Source organism: Homo sapiens, chromosome 7 (genome assembly GCF_000001405.40).
Source record: "Homo sapiens chromosome 7, GRCh38.p14 Primary Assembly".
Lineage (NCBI taxonomy): Eukaryota > Metazoa > Chordata > Mammalia > Primates > Hominidae > Homo > Homo sapiens.
Window position 1 is genome coordinate 133,909,037 of NC_000007.14, and position 27,945 is coordinate 133,936,981.

The 27,945-nt window shown below is 38.3% G+C and overlaps 1 protein-coding gene across 10 annotated transcripts in view; it reads left to right on the forward strand.

Annotated features, from left to right (window-relative positions):
- Positions 1-27,945, forward strand: part of EXOC4 (exocyst complex component 4) — an 847,874-nt gene that overhangs the window by 655,959 nt on the left and 163,970 nt on the right. For all 10 annotated transcript variants that reach the window (XR_007060126.1, XR_007060125.1, XR_007060123.1 and 7 more), the window contains one exon: positions 8,547-8,702. Coding sequence is in view for 2 of the 10 variants with exons in the window: in NM_021807.4 (NP_068579.3) it covers positions 8,547-8,702 (156 nt within the window). In the remaining 8 variants the exon portion in view is untranslated. The remainder of the gene's footprint in view (positions 1-8,546; positions 8,703-27,945) is intronic.

Genomic DNA, 27,945 nt, shown 5'->3' on the forward strand with positions numbered 1-27,945 from the left:
TCCATGTGTTCTCATTGTTCAACTCCCACTTATGAGTGAGAACATGCGGTGTGTGGTCCAGAAAGATATTTTTATGTCGTTTGTTATTTTCCTGGCGTTTTGTGCTTCAGTTATGTCATTCATTCCTTCAATCTGTTACTCATTCAAAAATCATTTATTAAGCACTTCTAGGAGCCAGCGTTATTCTAGGGCTAAAGGTGAAGAAGTGAATTGACTAGGTAAGGTCCTTGCTTTCGTGGATTTTACACCTTAATGGAGGGAGCTAGATAATAATCAAGTGGAAATAAACAATAAATTTCTCATTAATAAGGATGATGTGATTAAACAAAACAACAGGTTCAAGTGAGGAGAGTAGGTTCAGGGAAGACGCCGCAGAGGACGTGGCATTTGAGCTCAGTTCTAAAGGATGAGAAGGAGCCATGTGGAAATGTGGGAAAGAGCACTCCAGGTGGAGAAAGGAGCAAGTCCGAAGATGGGAACTAGCTTGAATTCAGGTTAATGAGCAAAGAGAATGAATACTGAGTGACATTAGACAGGTAGAGGGGTCGGATCATTTGGGTCATTTCTGGCTGCACATGAGAATCACATGGGAGCTTAAAACATAGCCAGACTGAGCCCCACTTCAGACTGTGAAACTGATGTATTTTTAAAATGCTTCCCAGGTGTTTTCATGTGCAGTCAGGATTAAGAACCATTGATAAAGGATCTTGAGGCTAGAGAATTTGAATTTTATTCTCAGTTCAGTGGGAAGACATGCAAGGTTTAAATAGGGAGTCATCTGATCTGAGATCTACTTATAAAGATCTTAATGATATTCAAACACAGACTATATTTAAATTTGCTTTATTATAAGAAAAATCTGAACATTGACGGTTGAGACAGATTTTTTTTTTTTTTTTTTTTTTTTGAGGAGTTTTGCTCTTGTTGCCCAGGCTGGAATGCAATGGCGTGACCTTGGCTCTCTGCAACCTCTGCCTCCCAGGTTCAAGCAATTCTCCTGCCTCAACCTCCCAAGTAACTGGGATCACAGGCATGTGCCACCACACTCAGCTAATTTGTATTTTTAGTAGAGACAGGGTTTCGCCATGTTGGCCAGGCTGGTCTCAAACTCCTGACCTCAGGTGATCCACCCATCTCGGCCTCCCAAAGTGCTGGGATTACAGGCGTCAACCACTGCGTCCAGCTGAGACAGATTTTATATGAATTCTTGGTCCACTTCCTGTGTTACAGTATAATTTTTTTCTTCTTGATCTTTTAAGTGTCAAACAGTTATGATCCTTCATATGAGAACTTGTCTATTTAAAGGTTGTTACTAAATTATCCCCAAGAGTTACCTTCTGTAAACTGTCATTGCAAAGCCTTTTTCCCTTGGTCCTCTTGGATGGTTTCTGTTTTCCATGGGCCTTCTCCAGAGTTATCAGAAGTTGTCATTCTCAGGTAGACATATACACTATCATAAAGCTCTCTGACCAGCATTGAGTATGGTGTCAAAGATGTTCTGATGTTTCTTTCCTCTTTTCCTATGTGTGTTGCTCCATCTTAACTGACTTTTTGGTTTTGTTTTTGTGTTTGTTTTGTTTTATTTGGCAGCATAATACTATTATCTTTGCATCCCTAATTGTCATTATCACTTGTGTTGCTGGACATTTCACTGCGGTTTCGTCTGCTGCAGGTCCAGTCATTCACAGTCTAAATTGGACGACGGCACTTTACTTTGGACCAGTCTTGTCCAAGGTTCATTTGTTGAGCTTGGCTCCTAGTTTTTGAAGTATCTTGAAAGATTCAGTCTGGGAAAGTACACATCATGCCCTGGCTGTCACCAAACAATTGAATCCAATTAGCCCCACCTGCACCTGGTTGTTTACCTAATGAAAGACTCAGCACCCCAGCTGTGTCCAGGGACCATGCACACTCGCACTTCCCAACTGTTCCAGAGAGGAAGCGGTACACATCAGAGCCAGGCGACACCAGCAGATGTTTTCTGAATGAAATTCACTCAGCTGTATCTCGAGGGTGGACCTTTCTCTTGGCAGCCTCATCACCTGTACCAAAAGGTACACCTATTTTCCTCTTCCTCTTGGAAACAGATACAAATAGTTACACAGTTGGCTCTGTCTGTGGCTCATTGAGCTGTGAATTAATGAGTACATTATGGTTCTGGTAGGGATGATTAACCTTGCTTCTCCTATGGAATAATTTTTGGACATGTAGCTCTCCTTTTTTGAGGCTATTTGGATATGTCCTGGAATTCTGTAACCCACATGATCTGGTTTACCAGAAAATCAAAAACAAATAAATGCAATTAGTCAGGGTGGACTTGCCACTTGAGTAAAAAATTTTCTTTAGGGTAATTGTTTATTGCTGATCAATGCCAGTATTTCAAATTAGAATATTTGGAATTACTTTTGGGATTGGTGTTCATTCCAAATGTACTAACATATTTATTGTTGAGGGCAGTATGTTAGTAGCCTTTTCATTCATTTGGATGACTATTTTTTAATAAAATGGGATCGATGCATATTAGAGATAATGTAATCTTGAATTACTGAATTAATCCAGTCCTTTAAAAATATGTAAGTAAATAATGTGGGTACCTTTAATGTCATCCAACCTAACCTAATTTTTTTATTTCAGCTAATGCTAAAATGGAAAATTCTAGCCCTTCAAAATGTACGGTACCATCTCACACCTACAGATCCAACTATTTCCTGAACCTGAGGGCAGATATGGGCCAGCATGGATGCGCTCAAAGACGTAGATGCTGACAAAATGAGTTGGGCTTGGGCTTCTCACTCTGTGGAACAGAATTTGACCTATAGTGTGGGTCTAAGAGGAATTGAACCACACAGCCAAGATTCTTTCTAGATATGAGTGGTGAAATCTCCCACAGCCAAGATTCTTTCTAGATATGAATGGTGAAATCTCCCACAGCCAAGATTCTTTCTAGATATGAATGGTGAAATTGAAATTTTGTATAATTTCCACATGTCACAAAATATTGTTCTTTTAGTTTTTTAAAAACCATTTTAAAATGTCAACACCATTGTTAGCTTACAGGACATACAAAGACAGCTGATGGGTAGGTTTGGCCCACAGGTCATGGTTTGCCCACCCCATTGTATTAGACAGAGTGCTAATTGGGAAGTTATGGATAAGTGCAAAAGGAGGGGTTTTGTTTGTTTTGTTTCCAAAGGGAGAGATCATTGTAGGCTGACATAGTCAACAAATTCTTCACAGAGAAAGTGAGTTTTTGAGGAGACTTTCCAATAATAGGCCACCTAGGAATAAGTAGCGTAGAAGGGAAAGGCTTGTCAATAATCGCTCTTTGGTTCATTTGTTTTATGAGTCAGGACTATTTTACATTGGGGTTTTTCAAAGAGGGACACACCTGTATTCATTACCTGATTTGTATTGAATCCAGAGAGGCATGGTGAAGGGCATGGCACAGAGTGATCTTTGATTTGGTTAAATACCAAATGACTTGACAGCTCATCAAAGTTGTTTAGAGCAGAGAATAAAACGGAAACCATTAAGATGCTTTTAGTGTAATAAGTTATCTAGACTTTTGAAATTGAAGAGGGCTTCTTTTTATCTCTACTTCAGTTCTTATATGCCTTCTAAATACCAGGTATTGTGGTAGGCACTAGGGACAGAAAAACTAAGAAGAAATCGACTCTGTCCTCATAGAACTCATCATCCAATATGGGATTCCAGCTTGCAAAAAAGTGTAGTAGGACCAGTTAAAATAGACGTTGGCAAACGCAAAGGTTGTGGCCCTTGAGTGCACATTTAAATCACATGGGAAACTCCAAAAATTTCTGTTGCTTGGGTCCCGCAGCCCAGAGATTGTGATTTACTTGGTCTTGGGTATGGCTTGGGCATCTGGTTTTTAAAATAGCTTGCCCAAGTGATTCTAATCTTTAGTCAAGGTTGAAAACCTCTGGTATAGGGGTGATGAGGCACAAAAAAAGAGGACTCAGATGTACCAAGGGAGGAGCTGGGGCAATGCTTGACAAGTAGAGGCAAACAAGGAGGATGAGAAAAAGGCTTTCTAGGCTGAGATGACACACAGAAACAGGAAATAATAGATCCCATTTGGAAAACTTTGGAATACTCATCATGGGTAGTGTGTTCAACCAGCATGGGCAAGAGATTGGCTAGGAATCGTGAACAGACACAAAGGAGAAAAGGAATAGCAGGAGATAAAGCTGAAAAGATAGATGTTCATGCCTTGCTAAGTCTAGCCTTGGTCTTACCTGGAATTAGAAGTCACTGAAGACTTGTAGGAAGGGTTATAACATGATTGGATGTGTAGTTTAGAAAAATGACTCATCTGACTGATGTGGTGAGTTCAACTGATGGTCTTGTAGCTGCAGGCGAGAAGCCCAGTTACAAGGTTATTGCCAAGTCCAGGTGAAAAAAGATGAGGGTTTAAATATAGGTTAATAGCAGTGAACCTGGACAGGAAATGACAGATTTATTAAGATATTAAGGAGATAGAATTGGCAGGATGTGGTGACTGGGTAATTAGGATGACTCTGCATTCCTGAGTTGAATAACAGGATGGCTTGAATAGGGAACATTAGATGCTCAGTGGTAGAGAGAGAGAGAGAGAAGTAGTTAGTAAATTGAGTTCCTCTTGACTCATTTTAACTTGAAATGCAGATGGAACTTTCAAGTAGAGTTCTACAGTAAGCCTTTGGATATGCAGACTGGAAACTTAGAAGAGAGGGCTGCCCTAGAGATAATAATTTCAGAGTCATCAGAATATAGATGGTTCAAGCTGTGCAAGAAGATGAGACTGCCCAAGTCAGCAATGCAGAATTCTGTGGAACACAGCATTTAAAGTATGGATGGAGAAAAAGAGCCATCAGTTTGGCTAAGAAAGGTTAGGATGGTAGGTAAAGAACGTGATGCGGAAAGCAAAAGAATAGTATTTCAAGAAGAGAGTAATCAAAAGTGTTGGATGCTTTAGAATAGTCAAAGAGTGCGAAGAATAAAATAAAAAGTGCTCTTGGGTTGGTGGAGCAATTTCAGTGGAGTAATGGTTCTAGAACCCTGACTGCAGTTGATTTAAGACTGGATTTTGATTTCCTGTCAGAAGTTTGGTGCGAATAGATTTAAAAAGCCCTTTTCTTGTTTCTAACTTGTAGAAATTCTGGATAAAAAAATTATAACTTTAAAAATATTTTAAATATGTAACCAAACTCAAAAGGATGAAAGAGAATTCTCCAGATGCCATGAATGAAAGAGGAATTAAAAGCCAGAAACAGACAAATGTGGAAGTTGAGTGGGCTACAGAGGTTTCAGGACCACATATAGAGGTCAAATAGAGGCTAGCATCTTGACATCTTCCAGGCAGGGAGGGAGCTTTATCTGTGCAGAAGTTATGCAAAGAACTGTTTCATTCATATTTCTTAGTTCATTCATGAATGGAACCAAGAAAACTTGGGACTTAAGAAGGAGCTACCCAACCTGGAGTAGAAAAGTAGCCCCTAAAAGAAATCAGAATCCCACACCTCATGTGATATGTGCAAGTAAGAACTCAATTTGTACTACCTGCGTAGGGAGAAAAAGCCTTAAGCCAAAAATAAAAAATAAAAAAAAAGGAAAAAAAAATTACAAACCTATTTGGAACCAGTGTAACTCATAGGACCCAGAAGAGGCAAATGCAGACTACGTAACAGTGATATCTTGAAAATTCTGGGCAAATGCAAGATTCCTACAGAGGATAAGTTCCATTGAAGTAGAGCTTCCAGAACAAAGTAGCAGACCACATGAGGAAATACACCATCATGAGAAAAGAAGGCAAATGCAACAAACAGGACACTTGACATCTACAAGAACTACCAAAGAATATAAAGCCACTTCATAGAAGGAACTTAAAAATTGTGGATTTCTAAAACATTCAAGGAGATAAAGAAAAGAACAGATTCCATGATACAAGAGCAGGACAGTTTGGAAGGGAAAAGCCAGTAGATTTGTAAAAGAGGCAAATAGAAAATCTAGAAATGAAAAATATAATAACTGCAAATTTTTCAAAAAGCAGTAGATGGGTTAAATCGTAAAGTAGACCTTGGAGAGAGATTTCATGAATGAGAGGTGAGACAGTGAAGTCAATTAGTGCAGGCTGCTCCTTTGATGATTGCCTTTGAAGGAGAGGGAGCAGCTTTGTTAGAGAGGAATGCAGGGAAGAGATTCATTCATTCATTCATTCATTCATTCATTCATTTTTAAAATAACAGAGGATTAGGGAATATATAGTGGAAAGAGTAAAAATACAGGAAAAAGGGGAGATAGGTCGGGGAGAAAAGATCCCCAAGAGCCTAACTAGAGGAATTACTGGAAATTAATGAGGATGAAGCAGATTTGAACATATTTCTGTTGGGGGTAGGAGGTCAAATATTTGAAAGTATGTAATTAGATCCCTTCCTTCTCTGTCAGATAAGAAGGATATGGGCGGTAAGCAATGAGGAGATACAGAAAGGGCAAATGTTTTTTTAAAGAAATAGCTACTAAGATAAATGGGGAGATGAACCTGATCAGAGACAGGTATAAAGAATGTCAGAGAACATTGAGGGGTACACCTGCAACAGTCTCTTATCTGAGGTGGTACCATGCTATAAGATTGCACCTAGCAATGCAAGTATAAGATTGTAAAAGTTAGATTGTTGGATTAGTCCATAAATATTACAGAAAAGATGCAAGGAAATAACAAAAGAGGGAATAGAAAATAGTAGTAAGAAAGTAATATGAGAGATTGGAGGGAAGAAGTTTCTGTAATCCAATTTTTGTGTCTCTGACCATGGTTACTATGAGAAAACATTTGCTTATAGTGAATTAGAAGAATTCTAGAATCTGTTTTCCTCCTGCCTCACCTCATTTCCCATGCAAGTGTGCCTTGAGCTCAAAACTTTAGAAGAATAAGAGAGCAAATAAATAGCTCTCTTATTTATTCTAGTTTATTTTAAAAGAACCAGGGTAATATTGTTCCCTACAACAGTGGTCCCCAACCTTTTTGGCACCAGGGACTGGGGTGATGTTTTGGGTGAGAAAAAGGGGATGGGATGGTTTCAGGATGTAACTGTTCCACCTCAGATCATAAGACATTAGTTAGTTTCTCGTAAGGAGCATGTGATCTAGATCCCTCGCATGCGCGGTTCACAATAGAATTTGCGCTCCTGTGAGACTCTAATGCTACCGCTGATCTGGCAGGAGGTAGAGCTCAGGTAGTAACGCTCACTGGCCCGCTGCTCACCTCCTGCTGTGCCGCCCAGTTCCTAACAGGCCATGGACCAGGACCAGTCCGTGGCCCAGGGGTTGGGGACCCCTGCCCTACAACATGAAACTATGTTACCTTAAGTCAGTCTGTCATGAATCAAGGTTTGTAGGCTTCAACTTTTTGTTTTTGTTTTGTAGAGAAGGTCAATCTGTGTTGCCGAGGCCAGTCTTGAACTCCTGGCCTCAAGCAATCCTCCTGCCTCAGTCTGCCAAAGTGCTGCAGTCATAGATGTGAACCACTGCATCTGGCCTAGGCTCCATCTTCTTTTGTCTACAAACATTAATTGTCTGTTGGGTCAAGGAGGTATCATACATACATGCCATATATATTGTTTATTTGCAAGTGCATAATGCCCCCCAGAGTGACCCCTGTACTAAAAGAGATTCCTGCCTATGATGGGGCAATCTCCTGGAGTCTTGGTCAGCCCCAGAGGAGAAGCAGCTAATTGGCACTCCTTTCATAAATAAATGTCATTTCTGTCACCTAGTATTGCTGACGAGGATATTTAGATCGTTGAAATTAGTTACAGTGACACATGTTGAACCGAAAGAAAAGCTTTTTAATTAAGTTGAAATTGAACATTTAAGATGAATTTACAGGTAACATTCTGGTAAGAGCAGTGTTAATAGCTAACCCATGGGCCCTATGAAAAGACTTGAAGCCTGTCAGCTCTAGGTCACTAGTCAGAGCCCACTGGAGATGGCAGTAATCAAAGGCTTTTTCTGCCTGACAACTGGGGCTGAGGGTTTCTTAATGATGGTATATTGGCTGTGAAGAGAGGGGTGTCCATGATTCAAGCAATACCCTCAACTAGAACTAATTGATAGTTTAAACCAAGGAGTCCAGAGTACAACCTTTTGTAACACTTCCGTCACCTTTCAGGTACTAGTTATGTTGTCACTTAATAGCATTCTTTTACATGGTTATCCCACTTTTTATTCAACATTTTCTTAAAAGGTCCCCCCCAAAACATACCATATGCTTTTATTTATCCTAAGGGATCAAATATGGTAAGAGGAGCTAATTAGTTTTTTCAACTGTCACGATTACTCAACAACTAAGAAACTAAGAATGAAATCTAGAAATGTTGTTTCCCAGTAATGTGACCTATTAATGGGTATCATGGACTCCAACTTAGATAATGGATTATGTTCAAAGGAGAGATGAGTGTGATTTCTTTTTTCCTGCAGCAAAGGTAGATGAAAATGCTAACTGAATACCAGGCATCATGCTACAGTGTCTCTTTTCTATTGGCTGTGTTTAGGGGTATTGTCCAGTCAGAAGAAAAACTTGTCATCAGTGCATCCTGGGCAAAAGATGATGATATCAGCAGACTCTTGAAATCTCTACCAAACTGGATGAATATGGCTCAACCCAAACAGCTGAGGCCAAAAAGAGAGGAGGAAGAAGATTTCATAAGGTAAAAGGTCCATTTTCTAAGTTGTCCTAAACATAGGGAGGAAGCACATCTGTTTAGCTAATATTTTTTTACATGAAATTTAGGCAAATTCTAAAAATCAAGCAGCAATTACTTGAACTTAGTAAAATATGTTTTCCTCCTGTCTCACCTCATTTCCCATGCAAGTGTGCCTTGAGCTCAAAACTTTAGAAGGAAAAAAATTAATGTGAGTCAAATTTGGAACATTGCTAAATTGGATTAAAATATCTTTTTTTTTTTTTTTGAGACAGAGTCTCACTCTGTCTCCCAGGCTGGAGTACAGTGGCGCAATCTCGGCTCACTGCAAACTCCACCTCCTGGGTTCACGCCATTCTCCTGCCTCAGCCTCCCAAGTAGCTGGGACTACCGGTGCCCACCACCACGCCCGGCTAATTTTTTATTTTTAGTAGAGACGGGGTTTCACAGTGTTAGCCAGGATGGTCTCGATATCCTGACCTAATGATCCACCTGCCTCGGCCTCCCAAAGTGCTGGGATTACAGGCATGAGCCACCACACCCGGCCTAAAATATCTTTTAATTTATAGGTTCTTCTTTCCTCTTAGAGGAAAAATAGAATTCAGTGATTCATTCACTCAGCAAAGTTGTTTGTAGCCCCCATATGGGCCATACCCTTTCAAACATGAGAGTAAGATAAATTTCTGTCCATACAGAATATGTTTCTGTCCATACAGAATATGTTATGATTGTTCTTAACATGTTCTCCAGTCCATAGAACTGTCAGTTGGACTTTCTGGAAAATACAAATGTGCTTCCTGTGTGTGTGTTCACATACATTGTATTATCCGTGATTGTTTTCTATGTTTCAACAAAAGTAGAGTCTTTCTTTTAACTTTATCACTCAACATTTGCCTTTGTTCAATTTAAATTATTTACTTAGCCATGAAAGTGTGGCCTAATTTGATGAAGCTACTCATTTCCATATGGCTGGCTTGCCACAGTGAAACATTTTCACCTCTGTCACTTATAGAGCTGTGTAAAGTAGAAAAACAATGGTGGTAATACTTTGTCACATCAAAGTTGGGATTAATATTATCTTCTTTTGCCTAAGTGAATGAATAAGTGGTAAAAATAAAATAAAAGCATTTTAAAGAAACAAAGACTAGAAGAGGAATAAAAGGAATAAGGGCCCATGTTTTCATTCATCACAGAACTGTGTTCTTATCTCTCTCAAATTGTGCAACTGTAGACAAATCTTTACTGCTCACAAAGTTAACCTATAATCATACACTACAGTGCCATATTTTTATGAACTTTTTATTATGAAAATTTTCTGTAGCATCATGTTAAACTTTCTCAAAACCATGATTCTTGAAAGTGCATGTGTAATTTAACCTAAATTCTTCCTGTTTATGTTTTTCTTCCTTATTATTCACAGTATCTGAAAGAAACTTGTTAGCTAGTTAATTATATAAGAAAACTGTCTCTCTCCCCACCTTTATTTTTTGAAGGAGCAATTTTAGGTTTACAGAAAAACTTGAACAAAAAGTACAGAGTTGCCATAGATCCCCTTACACCTCCCCCAACCATTTCCTCTGTTTTTAACATCTTGCATTCATGTGGTGTATTTGTTATAATTGATGAGCTAATACTGATACAATATTAATGACTAAAGTCTGTAGTTTACATTAAGGATCACTCTTCATATTCTAAATATATCGGTTTTGACACATGTATAAGGAATACATCCACCATTATAGTATTATGCAGAATAATAATTTTGCTGCCCTAAAAACTTCCTGTGTTCCTCCTATTCATCCCTCCCTCCCTCAACAGCCTGAACCCCTGGCAACCACTGATCTTTTTATTGTCTCCATAGTTTCGTCTTTTGCAGAATGTTATATACTTGAAATCATACAGTATGTTTCCTCTTGAGAATGACTTATTTTGCTTAGCAATGTGCATTTAAGTTTCCTCCATGGTTTTTTTATTTTGTGGTATTATTGCTCATTTCTTTTTTATCTCTGAATTATGTTCCATTTCATAGGTGTACCACTCTATTCACTCATCTATTGAAGGATATCTTAGTTGCTTTCAAGTTTTGGCAGTTATGAACAAAGGTGCTGTAAATAATTTGTGTGCTGGTTTTTATGTGGATGCAGGTTTTTAACTCATTTGAGTAAATACCAAAGAATGTGATTGCTGGATCATAAGGGCAAAATATGTTTAGTTGTATAAGAAACTGCCAAAATGTATTCCAAAGTGGTTGTATCATTTCACATTCCTACCAGCAAGGAACAAGAGCTCCTGTTTCTCCACATTCTTGCCAACATTTGATGCTGTCAGTGTTTTGGATTTTAGCCATTCTTATGAATGTGTAGAGATATCTCATTGTATTAATTTGCAATTTCCTAATGACATGTGATGTTGAACATCTTTTCATATGCTATTTGCTGTCTCTATATCTTTGGTGAAGTGTTTATTCAAATCTTTTGCCTACATTTTAATTGGGTTATGGGTGTTCTTGTTCAGTTTTAAGAGTTATATGTATATTTTGGGTAGCAGTCCTTCATCTGATAAGTATTTTGCAAAGATTTTCTCCCAGCCTGTAGTTTGCCCTTTCATTCTCTTCACGATGTCTTTTGCAGAGAAGTTTTAATTAAGTCCAACATATTTTTGTGCTTTTCTGTCTTCTCTTGTTTTAATTATTTTGTATGGTTCCATTTTTTCTTGTCTTTTACCATATTAGTTATACTTCTTTTTTTTACACCTTGCATTCATCGTATACATTTATAACTAATCCAAGTCTGCTTTCAATGACACTGTACCACTACACAGGCAGTGTAAGTACCTTATAACAGAGTATTCCCAATTCTTCCTCCCTATCCTTTGTAACATTGCTGTCATTGATTTCATTTATCCATAAGCTAGAATCATTGACTACAATGTTATTGTTATTATTTTGAACAAACTGTTGGATCAAGTAAGAATTAGAAAAGGTTTATTTTTACCTTTGTTTATTCCTTCCCTAATGCTCTTCCTTTCTCAATGTAGATCCACGTTTCTGATCTGTATCATTTTTCTTCTCTCTGAAGAACTTCTTTTGACACATCTTGCAAGACAGATCTACTGGCAGCAAATTCCTTCAGTTCTTATTTGTCTGAGAAAGTGTTTATTTTTTCTTCACTTAAAGGATAATTTCACTAGGTACAGAAATCTAGACTGATGTATTAGTCAAGGTTTTGCAGAGAAACAGACCTAATAGGATGGAGGGAGGGATAGACAGATAGATTAATTGACTGATTATAGGAATTGGCTCATTAAATTATGAGGCCAAGAACATCCACCATCCACCATTTGCCAGCTGCAGAACAAGGAAAGTCAGTGGTGTAATTTATTCCAAGTCCAAAGCCCTGAGAACAGGGTTAGAGGGTGGGGCTAGTGTAAGTCATGGAGTCTGAAGGCCTGAGAACCAGGAGCTTCAGTGTCTGAGGACAAGAGAAAATGGATGTCCTGCTCTAGCATACAGAGAATGAATTCACCCATCTCCACCTTTCTGTTCTATTCAGGCCCTCAATGGATTGGATGATACCCATCCATGTTGGTGAGGGAGGATCTTCTTTACTAAGTCTACTGATTAAAATGCTAATCTCTTCTAGAAACACCCTCACAGACACACCAGAAATGTTAAACCAGTTATCTGAGCATCTCTTAGCCCAGTCAAGCTGACATATAAAATTAAACATCACAACTGAGGATTGTTTTTTTTCTCTTTTAACAACTAAATATTTTACTCCACTCTCTTCTTGTCTGCATGATTTCTGAAGAGAAGTCTGATATAATTCTTATCCTTGTTCCTCTATAGGATTTTTTTTCCTCTGGTTTCTTTAAAGATTTTTTTTGTCTTTGATTTTGTATACTTTGAATATGATATGCCTAGGTGTAGAATTTATGGTGTGTATCCTGCTTGGTGTTTTCTGAGCCTCCCAGATCTGTAGTGTAGTGAGGTATCTCTAATTGATTTGGAGTAATTTTCAGTTACTATTGCTTCAAATATTTATTCTGTTGCTTTTTCTCTTTCTTCTCCTTCTGATATTCCCATTATGCATATGTTATACCTTCTTAAACTGTCTTATAGTTCTTGGATTGTATGTTTTTTAACTATCTCAGAGTTCTTAGATATTCTGTTGTTTTATTCTTCTTTTCTCTTTCTGGTTCAGTTTTGAAAGTTTCTATTGACATTTCTTCAGTGTCTCCAGTTCTTTCCTTGGCCATATCCAGTCTATTGCTGAGCCCATCAGAGGCATTCTTCATTTTTGTTACAGTGTTTTTTATTTCTAACATTTGCTCTTGATTCTTTCTTAGAGTTTTCATCTCTTCTTACATTACCTGTAGTTTGCTTTTTATTGGATATCTATTTATTATATATACATACTTTTAATGAAGCATAATAAATATATGAGAATGTGCACATATCAAAGTCACAACTGTGCCAATTTTTACACTGTTCACTTTTGTAAACAATACTCAGATCAAGAAACAGAACTTTAGCAATAAGAACATAGCAACAAAGTGCCTTCTCGTCCTCCTTCTTTCTAGTTACTGCCTGCCTCTTCAAAAGTTACCCTTGCTGACTTGTAACTACTAGACTAGTTTAATCTATTTTTGGACCTTATATAAATGGAATCATGCAATTATATATATATATTTATTTTTATGACTGGCTTCTTATTTTCCACATTATGTGAGCAAGATTCATCCATATTGCTGTATATAGGTTCTCACTACTTCATAATCTATATTGTATTTCATTATGTCACTACAACAAGGTTTTTAAAAAATTTATACATGGCCGGGCGCGGTGGCTCATGCCTGTAATCCCAGCACTTTGGGAGAACTGAGACGGGTGGATCACGAGGTCAGGAGATCGAGACCATCTTGCCTAACACGGTGAAACCCCGTCTCTACTAAAAATACAAAAAAATTAGCCGGGTGTGGTGGCAGGTGCCTGTAGTCCCCAGCTACTCAGGAGGCTGAGGCAGGAGAATGGTGTGAACCCAAGAGGCGAGGCTTGCAGTGAGCCAAGATTGCACCACTGCACTCAAGCCTGGGCGACAGAGCGAGACTCCGTCTCAAAAAAAAAAAAAAATTTATACATGTGTGTTTCTATGTGTGTGTGTGTATGTGTGTACATGTAATTGTGTATTCATACATTCATCATTCTGCTGGGCTCTTGGAACTATTTCACATAGTGCTATTGTGAATATCCTGGGTTTTTTTTTTTGATAACCATATATGTGCATTTTGGTTGGGTATATCCTAGGAGTAGAATTTCTGGGTAATACAGTATGCATATGTTGAGTGTTAGTATACACTGCCAAATAATTTTCCAAAGTGGTGGTAAGAGTTTACACTTTTTTTTTTTTTTTTTTTGAGACAGAGTTTCGCCCTTCGCCCAGGCTGTAGCGTAGTGGTGCAATCTCAGCCCACTGCAACTGCCACCTTCTGGTTTCAAGAGATTCTCCTGCCTCAGCCTCCCAAGTAGCTGGGATTACAGGCACCCACCACAACGCCTGGCTGATTTTTGTATTTTTAGTAGAGACAGGGTTTCACCATATTGGCCAGGCTAGTCTCGAACCTTGTGATCCGCCCACCTCGGCCTCCCTTATAGTGTTGTATGAGAGTTCTAGTTGCCCCATATCTCACCAGCACTTATTTTTTTATTTTAGCCAGCCCAGTAGGTTTGTAAGGGTATCTCTTTATCATTTAATATGCATTTATCTCTTGAACAATGAACTTGAACACTTTTTTATGCACACGTATTTATTGGCCATTTGAATATCCTCTTTTGTAACATATTTGTTCAAATCTATTGCCCATTTTAATTAGCTTGTCTGTCTGTAGCGATTTTTAAGAGTTCTTTGCATATCTGGATGTAACATCTTTGAGATAGACAGATAGACCAACAGATCTTCTCCCACTGTACAGGCCACCTTTTTTACTGTCTTAATGGTGTCTTTTACTAAACAGACTTTTTAAAGTTTTAATAAATTTAATTTGTTATTATTTATGGACAAGACATTTTGAATCCTATTTAAGAAATCTATGATTTACCAAAGTCACAGAGATGTTTTCTTCTAAAACCTTTATTGTGCTGAATATATTTTCCCCCTGCATCTGATATAAATGATAAGCTTTTACATTTTTATTTCCTCTACCTGTTCTCTTCCCTTCATTTGCATCATGTTGTCATGACTATAGTGTAGAGAGTAACTTGAGGGTTTTTTTTTCTATCAAGACAGGTAAAGAATGATTGAGAGATCGATTGGTTAGAGCCCTGAGTAGAAATAATTAAACTGACCTTAGGATAAAGGTCAGGCCACAAGGCTCCACTCTTTCACAGTATTACCATAATATTTTCCCACTGCCAGATTTTGAAGATGCCTGGGTGAACATGTCCCCACTCGTTCTCCGTAAGCATACTCATCTAACTACAGCTGTCAACCTTAATAGTTGCGCTACAAGCAGTTTCTGGAAGAAAAATTATTTTTTCCCAACTTTACAGATTATTTTAAATGACTAAATATCTTTTTCTTCTTGTTCCTCAGCTTATTTTTGTGTAACTCCTTAATTGTATTTTATGCTTGACAATGGGATTTTCCATCAGTCTTATAGGTATCTTCAATAGCTTAAATTGAAGGGAATGCTTTCTAGCCTCATTCCAGAAAAGAGAATACTGATCCAAAGAAATGAATTTTTACCCTTCATGCTTCTGATTTAAAAAAGCTAGAATCAAGGTCCTGGCTTTCTTTATTCTTATTTTGCTCACTGAGTTGTATCACTTTCTATCTTAAATTTGAAGGCAAAACAAATTAAATGTATATTTCTTAATACATGAAGCAAAGTGTAATCTTAAGTGTATAACTAAATGTAATGTTATATCTCATTATATACCATCCCAGATCAAAATATACAATTTTTCTAGTATCCCAAAAAGTCCTGCTCTCAAAGTAACCACTATTCTCACTTTCATCCCATAGTTTAGATTTACTTGTCTTTGAATTTTATATAAATTTAATCATAGCATCCAATTTATTTTGTTCAACATTATGCCTAAAGGATTTATCCATGTTTTTGCATGTAGAGATGGCTTGAAAAACAAACTATATTTGCCTTAACAAAAGAAAAGTAACTTTTAGGTCTATTTGGTATATGATTGACTCTTTCCTTTTAACCTGTCACATTCTCTATCCCAATTAGAAGTCGAAAGCAAAGTTAAGTAGAAGAGGACACTCTTCATTGATATTCCAATGTGGTAGACTTGACAGAGTGCCTTGATTTAGCACTTTAGAGTACCATAGAATATGGCATGAGCCAAAAAGACTGAAAAGTCACAATCTCCCCCTATAATTAGTTTTTAAAGCTCAGAGGGCTGCTTGGCACATAGATGAATATAGAATCCATTGCCCTTTGCATTGAATAAAGGTTACGTTCCCTTCATTACTAAATGAGGCTCTTTTCTATTCTTGTTTTTTAACTAAAAAATAAAATGTATTATTTCCAGGCTTAACTTTGAATGGAGAGAGGAAAAATAGGTCACGCAAGGGCTTTCATAGAAAAAAGAAAAATAGCAAATATCCTTTTATTCCCAAAGAAGCTGAAAGCAGGCTTTCTAGCCCATTGTCTTTGCACCTGCCATATATATGTATATATTTATCCTTTTGAGATCAATGATTATCTGCTGATAAAAGGCATTCCTGCTTTCTGGAGATGTAATTAACAGAAGGGATAAGGTGTTGGGGAAGCAAAGAGGACAGGGAAGGAGCTAGGGAGGCCATGTGTATTAGAAAAACAGCCCCCACCCCAAATGGTTACCCTCATTTCATTCATACCCTGAATGAAAGAAGAAGAATCAGTTCTCTGGAGCCTGGTTTGAAAATTCTTAAGTGGATAGGTGTGATTGGTAGGACCTGGAGCAGAATTTTCAGGTGATAAAGGTCAAGCAATATATAAAACCTACAGATTAGTCTTGAAAGATGCACAATAAAGAATTAAGATTGTGCCTGTAATCCCAGCACTTTGGGAAGCCGAGGCGAGTGGATCACAAGGTCAGGAGTTCGAGACCAGCCTGACCAAAATGGTGAAACCCCGTCTCTACTAAAATAGAAAAAAAAATTAGCTGGGCATGGTTATACGTGCCTGTAATCCCAGCTACTCAGGAGGCTGAGGCAGGAGAATTGCTTGAACCCAGGAGGCGGAAGTTGCAGTGAGCCGAGATTGCGCCACTGACTGCACACCTGCCTAGGCAACAGAGCAAGACTCCGTCTCAAAAAAAAAAAAAAAAAAAGAAGAAAAGAACTAAGATCATGCAGTTTATTCCAGCAGTCACAGCAATAAGAGTGGTCAGTGCCTGGCACAGTATAGCAGCAGTACGAATTTTCAGGAATTATTATTCCTACTCAACATATGAGGAAACTGAGGTGCAGAGGAAGTAAATGACTTCCCCAAGTTCACACAGCCACTAAGTGACAGGGCTAGAATTTGACTCTAGGTAATTGACTCTGACTTCCAGAGCCACCACACTATGCTGACCAGCCTAAAAATGGATCAGGAATTTGTGGATTTTGACATTTGAATTATTCCTTTATTTTCATTGATCATCATAATCTTGACTGATATTTGAGTCATTTTATGCTAATGTCACAGACATTTATCATATAAGCATTTTGACTCTAGATTTTGTTATCATTGGTATTCATTATATTATACCTGATGTATTATATTGTTACAGGTTCTCTCCTTTCCAATAACAGGTTGTTAAACAGAATATCCAGCTATACTTGGAGGAAAAATAATCTATTGAATATAGGTGCTTTAAAACTGCTTGTCTTATTTTCCTCTGATTTATATGTTTGACTAATCAATGCAAAGAAAAAATAATAATCGTTGTTGAAGATGGGGGAATGAAACATAAAAATGATATAAAATAAATTACATAGATTTTGGGTAGAGGGTGATGCAGTCCTGAATCAGGAAGAGAGACTAAAGGACATTTTGTAGCTATTTTTACTTATTGAGTTATTTAGAAAATAACTTCTTTATTTTATCTGGAGAATCAAATGAGTGGTATGTTTACTATGACTACCTTTTGTGGTTTTATGAAATTAGGAAGTCAACATGATTAACAGCAAAATATTCATTTCCAGCAAGCAAGATGGTTGATCTTAAGTTATTATTTGGCACGAGTCATATATTAAATGTTCAGTGAAAAAGGAATAAAAGCAGAAAGCAGGTTTGCACTTTTACTTTTCTTCTGTGGAATCCTCTTAGTATGCTAAGAGGTCCTCGTACCATAGGTCCTCAGTAAACGTTGAATGAATGAGAAGGATCAGCCCCTCCTCAAATGAAAGAAATAAAATGTAAAAAAAAAAAAAAATGGGGAGGCCTCAGCCTTCAGTGAACTCTCTGAAAGTTACATGCATAGTAAGAAATTCCCTTTGGAAAGCCACTGGCCTACATTCTGGTCCTCAGCACCATCATTAACTAGTTTGTTTTGTTTTTGTCCTTAGTAGGTCTTTATACCTCTTCAATTTTTTCATCCAATTCAGATTAAACAATTCTAAGAGATGCAGAAATCTAGCAGAGCCAGGAATGTGTTTAGATGTGGAAATTAGATGAATAAAGTAGAGCATAAATGATTTTCAGAAAAGTTCCTGTTGGGAATTTGAAAGGTTCTCAACGTAATATAAGCAACAGCTGTTAAAAGTTTCCAGCTAACTATAGCTATTGAAGAATCTTCAGATAAGTTTGAAGGAGTAAATGAAAGGGGCGAAGCAGGAAAAAAAGACTTTAGCTATCTTGAACAAAGTGTTCATATTTATGTTCATAAATTGGAGACATTTATTTCATTATCTCTGGATGCTTAATATAACTTTTAAAATATAATTATAAAAGGAAAGATAAATCAGAAAACATGAATATATTAAATAAGTGCAAGAGTAAAAAATGCTTTACTAAAATATTTTCTTTGCTGCAGTTAAATGAGATGAAGGTCATAGATGGATATAGAACGCTGCCAGGCAAGTCTGGATGAGAAGCTGACTTAAATCTCAAAACTAAACAGAAAAGACAGGTCATTAACTGGAGACTCAGCTGCAAACATATCAATTAATGTTCAAGATGATTGAATTAGGCATTTTGTTATTATATGAAAATGATACCATTCTTGTTAGCATAAGAGTGGCAGTAAATGGAAGAAAACAAAATTTAAAATCTCCCCTACACATCACATTAATGCTAGTGTATTTGGACAATTATTTGAGAATTATAATTATCTGTTAGTATCATTAAAGTGTCACTAATTTGTTTTCTAAATTTCATTTTTATTTAATTTTAGATATAATTATTTAATTTTTTTCCATTAAGGTGGACATTTAATACCATTCCTCTTTCATTTGAGGCTTAATGAAAGAAAAAAATGCAATTCTTCCAAGGTAGTCCCACTTAGCCCTTGAGAAAGTCAGGCTGGCAGTGGTCACCTGTGCCATTGTGGTGGTGGGCAGGATGCCTGTGATCAAGCCTGGGTAGGTTGCAGGCAGAAGTGTTCCTGAGACAAGGGCAAGCGGTGAGACGCTCTAGTAGCACTGCCGAAAGCCCGTGCCTGCTGTAATCTTGGCCCCACTCTGTCTCTGCTGATGCCTGTTCTCTGCTGCAAGCTGAAATTCCCTGCCAGCGGGTGAAGGACCATTTGCCTCCTCACATCTGTCTTTCTCTCCCTGTTGAATTGTTTCCACTTCCTAGTCCACCATCCTCTTTCATACTCACCTTTGCCATCAAGATTCAGCTTAGGTATCAACTCCTCCAGCATCTCCTCCCAGAAACCCTCCTCCCGCTCCACGCTGCACCCTCCTCCCCTCACTCACAGTCTGTGGGTGAGTCAAACCAGTAAGCAGACCCTTAATAGTGTGGTGAGTGCTACTGCTGGAGGGAAAAATATGGATAAACCTACACAGAAGAGGCCAGAGAACTAAAAAGCATTAGAAAGAGGAAGGGGATGGAGTTGGAGCTCAGAGGAGGGGGTCCTCACCCATCCATCAAGCAAGAGGTCAGAAGACAGTGTCTAAAATTAACATCAACAAGTAGCCGTTTCAACAGATTCTTTAGAGAGATGGTGAAAAACTACTGGAAGAATTTAGAAACAGTAGTACCTTTTTTTTTTTTTTTTTTTTTTTTTTTTGAGACGGAGTCTCCATCTGTCGCCCAGGCTGGAGTGCAGTGGCACCATCTCGGCTCACTGCAACCTCCGCCTCCCGGGTTCAAGCGATTCTTCTGCCTCAGTCTCCCAAGTAGCTGGGACTACAGGCACGCACCGCCACACCCGGCTATTTTTTGTATTTTTAGTAGAGATGGGGTTTCACCGTATTGGCCAGGCTGGTCTTGAACTCCTGACTTCGTGATCTATTCGCCTTGGCCTCCCAACGTGCTGGTATTATAGGCATGAGCCACCACGCCCGGTTACAGTAGTACCTTTTTAGACAGTTATATATGGTTGTTTCTGGGGCACAAGACTGAGACTGGGGAGTGGTAGGACAGTGGGGTCACTACTGATTAGTGTAGGTTATTTAACCATGGGTAATTATTCCTTTGGTTTAGAATTGTTATTTGTTTTAAAAACAATTCTCCACACATCCTCAAACCCTGTGACTGCTCTGATAGTTACCTACTGCTCCCAAATACACTGTCATTCTAACACTTCTATCCCAGAAAAAAAAAATGGATCATCTTAAGCCATTTTCACTTTTTTGCCAATTTTACACAAAGCATTTACTCTTCTTTATAGTATCTCTGTTTTTTTACTTTCCAGCTTTTATTTTAGATTCAGGGGTGTGTATGCAGGTTTGTTACATGGGTAAATTGCATGTCATGGGGATTTAGCCTACAGAATATTTTGTCACCCAGTTAAGAAACATAGTACCCGATGGGTAGTATTTTGATTCTAACCCTCCTCCTACCCTTCACCCTCAAGTAGTCCCATGTCTACTGCTCCCTTCTTTGCGTCAATGTGTATCTCATTTTGCCCCTGCCAAGGTTCACATCTCTCTCTTCCTTCCTCCTAAAACCCCCTCCCCTGCTCATTCCTCATCCCTTCTCTTCTCTATTCCAAGAGAAGAGAAACCTTACCTGACACCTCCTTGCTTTTGCCTGAGGTCAATTGTTTAATGTCTCTGCTCTGAACAGATTTCAATTCTTCAAGAGGAAATCATATGGCAATTTGAGAAATAACCAGGATAATCAATAAGCTGGTATACTCAGGGGAAGGAGTTCAATGCTATATAAAGTATGGCTTTTAAACCTATACTCAGTAGTGGAAAAATCAGAGTATAATGTGTTCAACTTATAATAAGTGATTATTGGTTATTTTACTCCTATCACCTGGTAATCTATTTTGAAGTTCAGGAATTCTTTTTGGAAAGTTACTGTTATAATTATGCACTGTATCATGCATGTTATACAGTGACTCCTGGCAGAAAAACTGCATACCTACAGAAGTCCTAGCGCCTAAAGAAAAAACATGAACCTAATTGTTTATACCTAGTGTTGCTTGACAATATCTATGAAGCAAAGTTAGTGGCCAAGCTTATTTGAGTGTCTTAGCTAAAGAAAGATGCATTCTTTTTCCAAACTCATAGAGCATTTCCATGCAATTGTGTTCCAAGTCTACATATCATAACTCTGAGCTGGTGCTGTCAGCATCAAAGTAACATGCTGCTTTGCAGTTAGCTTTTTGCTTAGTTTCTAGTATCAGTTTTCATGGAATTTTTTCATTGTCTTTACCCACTGATACATCAGTGTACTCTTCTGCTTGGTACCAAAAACGGGGATACAAAACGTGGAGAAACCCTGGGACTGAGCCTTGGGTTCCTGCCCTCTGTGCCACTAACTCCCCGTGTATCCCCTCCTCCTCTGCACCTCCAGCTCTTCCTCTGTAAACGACAACCTGTGAGTCTCCAACTTATTGGCTATTTTTTTCTTAAGTGATGTTTGTGTGTGTGTGTATGTGTTTATGTGTATTTATTTGTTTTAACTAGCCTGTTAGGTCTTATTTAACATCCAGTAAAGCTCTGTTTTTAAGCCAGATATTTATGCTTCAGAGTAGGTTGGAACCCCTTGTGTAATCACCTAGTATATTTCTACCCATTTTGTGGAACTTTGAATATAATTGTACTATTTTTAGTTACTACTTCAGGTTCTAGTTTACATTTATGGCATTTTTTTTTTCAAGCATTCGTCATTTATTTGATGTCTCAGAAACACAACCTTCAATTGTAAAGCTGTTTTAAAAGAAAATTTGGTCAATTATTTGATAATTAACTATTTTCCAGTGAGGTTTCCAGAAAAACATTGTCATACAACCAAAAGCTGCCTGTAATTGCTTTTGAAAGGATCAAGTTCTTAGATAAACTCAGGATTCAACACTGATATCAAAGGCATAAGGTTAATGACCAGGGTGCCTAGCCGGTTTTATTGTTCTAGAATTTAAGTGTTTAATGACAGACATCATATGAGTCACCCAATAGTGGCTCAATAAATACTTGTTGAATGAATGTATGTCTGTATTCATGTGCTACTTGATATATAAGTAATGGATTCAAATAAGAGAAAGGATAGTGTAGGAGGAATCTCAGAATATGGAGTACAAAGACTTAATTGTTTGCCCAAATTCTGAGCTGCAGTTTTATATTGGCAATTGAAAATTACTCAGAAATAAAAAAGTTAACTATTTAAAATATAGAATATATTGTTAATAATATAGGCAAAAGAACAAAAGTTATGCTGCTAGGAAAGAAAAACTGTAACTTAAACTAAAAGTATAATGATAGAGAAATTTTAAAGAATTTCTTCTCATACACGTTATATAGAGCTGAGTCAAATAGGAACAGGTGTTTTCAAAACATAATAAATCTCTCATACTAATGCATTTGAACTTATCACACACCTTGACCTGTGATTAACATCTTGGCCTCTAATTGGAGAAGCTGTTCGAATCCTGGTGTTCTGCTACCAACCCAGCCTCCATAAGGGTGATGTGTTTGTGTCTTTCTTTTAGACCAGGAGCCTGCATGGTGGCAAAGCTGCCTTAGCAGAATGGTGTCTGCAATTTACTCTCTAGACCTTTGCCTCTGCCATAGCCTTGGTAACTCTAACCTTGCTTCTTCTAGAAGAGGCTAAATTATGCATAATAGTTTTTCTGTGCTCAGCCTTAAGAACACAGCACATAAACCACTCCAAAATACTTACACAAGGACAGAAAGATAGACTGACAGAAGAAACTATGCATTTATGCGTTCCTGGATTGAACATGTCAAAACGTAACTGACTGTCATTCTAAATTTTCTCTCTCCAGTTCTGAAATTAAAATGGCAGAGACAGTTTGCGGGGATTCTGATTGCTTTCGTAATATTGCTTAAGTTTGTAATTGGTGCATTAACTTCTTATCGTACATGTTATATTTTGTGTAAAACCTTCATTTCCAGAAACAGCACGCTGGGAAGAAACTTAAAGAGCACTGTCAAGGGGTCTATGTGGAAGTGATTCCCAGGAGCTCACCATCTTAGGAACTATTTTGGACAGGAGTAGGAGAGATACTGATTTTGAAAAACCCAACAAAAAATTCTTTTTCTCACTTCTTATTTGTTCCCTGAGCTTAATTAACTCTTTGTTGTTATTTTAGAAATTTGAAAAATAGTAAACCCACAGAAAAGTTAACAGTGCAGTGAATGCATATGTACCATATACTGACTGAGATTTCCTGACCACTGACATCTTGCTATACTCACTCTATACTATCTCCAAATATATACACACATTTCCTTGCCAAACCATTCAAAAGTAGGCCACAGACATAATGGCCTCTATTCTTAAACTCTTTAGCATGCATTTCCCAAGAAGAAAGACATTCTCTTATGTACCCATATCATTACCATATGTATTAGTTTTATGTTGCGGCCTTGTAACCAATTACCACTGTTGTCAATAGTCTTGGCCATTTGAGTCTGTCCTGACCTTTCCCCTGCTCTGTTCTTTATTACAGGGGAACTGACTTTGCAGGCAGCATTTCCTAGGCTCTTAGGGCAGTTATCTCAGGTCTGGGCTCAGCAATAGGAAGTGGTGATGAAAGATTTGGGGAATAGGACCAGGAGAGAGAGAGAGAGAGAGAGAGGGAGAGAAAATAAATAAAATGTGATCAGATACAGCACAGGTCTGCAGACCAATCCCTGAAACCTTTTGTAATGTTTCGTTCATAATTGCATCAGGTCTGCTGAAAGCGCAGATTTTTTTTTTTTTCTTTTTTGCTTTCCTTTCAGTAGCTAACAGAATTCTTTAAAGACTAAATGGAGACAATTTTGAGCATCTTTGGCAAAATTTCCTTAAATGAATTCTTGTCAGATAGACCTTTTTAAAGATTGTAATTGTGTGGTAAAATTAAGTTAAATAGGTTTAACACTCCTGGCAAAATTACCTTAAATGAATTCTTGTCAGATAGAGCTCTTTAAAGATTATCAATAATTATGTGGTAAAAATTAGGCTTAACAGGTTTAACATTCTTCTTTAGTTTCATAGGCTTCTATGTGAGCCTGTTGGCCAACTGATTTGGAAGGCAAGTCCTCAGATGGGATCCAGTACCCAAAACATTCATGTTTTGAGTTCTGATTTCTGCTCCTGGCTGTGTCAGATCATCTTTGAGCAATTGCTGAGTGCCTGTTACCTCTGAGTTTCTGTTACTTCACCTTCTGAAGACAATGTTAATTTGCTGCCTGTTTCACTCAAAAATACATAGTGTCTTCATTAAATAATGTGTTATCATAATAAGCAGAAGATGAAGGGTACATAAAAATTCAGGCCTAGAAAGTGGAAATAATACTGTCCAGTTGCCAGGCAGCAGCCATTCTGGCTGCGAGGTCTTCTGCAGGGGACAAGTGACTGTGTCTTCCGCAAGCCTGGAGCCACCAGTCCAGACCAGCTTCAGGCCAGTGCGCCCATTGCCTCCCACCTTGGCACAAGTAACTAATACCCAATGTCCTCCAGTTTTATGTGCTGGGATTCCTGGCGTGCCCATTTGAAAGTTCTCTCATATGTGGTGAGACGTTCCGTTTTTCTCTTCACTAAAACGTGAAGTTGTTTTTTGGAGAACATATGGACAGTATAGAAAAGCACAAAGCATGATACATTTCTGCAGTTGACATTTTGGCATATAGATATCCAACCTTTTTTCTGCTCATATATTTATTTATTTTCTTAATATCATACAGTACCTATAGTTGTATAAGTTTATTTTACACAACTGCATATCATAATGAAAAATAAGCTACACCAAACATTTTTCTGTGTTACCAAGTTTTTTATATACATAATTCCTAATGACTTCATGGTTTTCCATAGTATAGATAGATCATAATTTAATAAATCAGAGGGATTGGAAAAAAATCTGTAGTCAAACAGCTAAAGCCATCCCTTTAAAGTTATTCTAACACATAAAAACCTTCCACCAAGCTCTTTGACACACACAAATCCTCGAAGGAATGATTTTTTGTGTGAAATGGTTATAGCTGTCAATCACTTATTCTCTGTGTCATGGTTTCTGTGCTCTTTTCAGGTTGTTAGGGGGTGATTATGGATTCCTGTCAAATGAGATGTCTGCTGTGTATTCAACATGAAGCAGTTTGTATTTTTCTCAGTCTATTGCTCTCCTGTCTGAGGAGGTTAAGCAAATCCCAGTGAGCCAGAGGGAAACGGGATAGGCATCAAGCGCTGGCAGCACACGGCAGACATGCCCAGGGCCCAAGATCCCCACTCAAGCAGATTAGACTTCTTACATAAATACATTTGTCTTAATTGTCGCATTCCACCTAGGGCTACACCTAATATGCATAAAAATGGCTCCAAGCCTGGTTTTCAAAGCCATTTGCCCCCCGCTGTTGCTTTTTCACCACCCAGCTCAGAGGCATTTTTTGTGTTATATCTATCACAGATGATTAAGGGGCTCGAAGAGTTGATATATAAGGGCAGATTAAGAAAACTAAATATTTACAACCTGACTGAGTGACAGCCAAGGGAAATACTGTAAATGTCTTCTGGGCTCAAATCACGGAGGAGACATTGTTTTGCTTTTCCTAGTAAGTGGATTTTAGAGCTATCCAAATTCAGAGAAAGTTTTCTTGGGATGACATCTCGTATGCTAATTAGATAAATGAGTCAGCTAGAAATTGCATTTAGCAGCTACTAACAGAAACTTGAAATAGCAGTGGCTTAAAGAAGTAGGGTTTCATTTTTCTCTGCTATGACATGAAGCTCAAAAGCATTTTTATTGTCTGGGACTGCACTATTGCTCCATGATGGCATCAGTGCACCATTGCCCCACCATCTTTGGGCTCCATTATGCTCAGCACTGGCTTCCATACTCAAGGTCACCCGATGTTTGAGAAGAGCTACTGCAGCCCCAGTTGCCGTGGCTTCATTCCATGAAGAGAGAAGGCAAAAGAGTCTCTGCCAACTAAGATTGCTTAAGAGAGCTTCCTTGATGCCCATCTACTGATTTCAGTTTACATCTCACTGGCCACCACATCTGCAAGAAGGGCAGGAAAACTTGGTGGGGTTTTTTGTTTTGTTTCATCTTAAGTTGGGCACATTGCTGACCCCAACAACATCAGGGTACTTTTACCAAGAACGCATGGGATAATGGATACTGGGTAGGCAGCTAATGGTTTCTGTCACAATAATTAACATCTTGAAAATTCTGATGAAAGTCTGGGCTGTAAGACGCTGTGGTTGGTATTTGTAAAACTAGCCCTTGATATGTAACATACTTCCTCCTGCTCACTCTTACCTAAATTCATTCATCATCCCACTAAATAAACTAGCCATCTCAACAGACCTAAGAATAATAACAACAATAGTTTTTACCAAGTAAAAACTGTTTGCACTGTGTTATGCACTTAAAAGCATCCCCTGAATGATTTGCCTTAAAATATTCTAAAGTGGTGATGGGGAGGCATAAATAAGGATAAATGGAATAAGACTTCCATGAGTTGCTAATAGTTGAAGCTGGAAGACAGTTACATGGGGGTTTGTTATACTCTTCTTTCTACTTTCATAATTATTGAAATTTTCCCAATGAAAAGCTTTAAAAATCACACTTAATCCTTACATTACTTCATATCAGGTCAGTTCTTTTACCTCCAGATAATAATGCTTGGAGTTAAGCAGTGTCACACAACAAGCAAGTGGCAGATTCAGTATTCAAACCTGGGTTTATCTCACTTTGAAGTCTGTGTCCCACCCTTGCCACTCAAGGAAAACACTTTTCAGACAAGCAGCCTGGGCATCACCTGGAAATCAGTTAGAAATGCAGAATTCAGGGCCCCACCCCAAGACCTTTTCCAAGCCCCTCAGATCAGATTGGTGCACACCCACATTCCATGCGCTCGGTTCACTGCTCTTCATTGCCTCAACATCAACTGTGACGTTTCCTTTAAAAAAGATAACCCTCGGCTAAAATAAGGAGGCTAGTCGTGACTCATTACTTGGTAGGATAAACATTTTAGATAACGATTTGATTCACAGCAGTTGTTTCTTTCAACATTGGGCATCTGCTGTAGTGCTGGGCACTAAACACCTATGTGTCAATTAAGCATCTTTCTATGTGTCAACAATTTTTATTAATCACTGCATGCTCGAAACTTAATTTGGCTTGTTCTAGTTAAATTAAGCCCTTGCTTCTTCTCAGGTAAGGTGTGTGAGATTTTAAAAGCCTTGGGTCTTACAGAAAACTCTCCAGGTGCCTATTTCAACCTCCTCCAGCATCAGCTCTGCTTACCCACCTGTGTGTAACTTTCTTGATTTTTTTCCCCTAACATTCTCAGTCATCTTTTTTGTTTTGTTTTGTTTTTGTTTTGTTTTTTTGGAGACAGAGTCTCATGCTCTGTTGCCCAGGCTAGAGTGCAGTGGCACGATCTCGGCTCACTGCAACCTCCGCCTCCCGGGTTCAAGCGATTCTCCTGCCTCAGCCTCCCTAGTAGCTGTGGCTGTAGGTGCATGCCGGCACGCCTGGCTAATTTTTTGTATTTTAGTAGAGACGGGGTTTCACTGTTGTTGCCCAGGCTGGTCTCGAACTCCTGAGCTCAGGCAATCCACCTGCCTCAGCCTCCCAAAGTGCTAAGATTACAGGCTTGAGCCACTGCGCCCGGCCTTCAGTCATCTTTTCTAATTT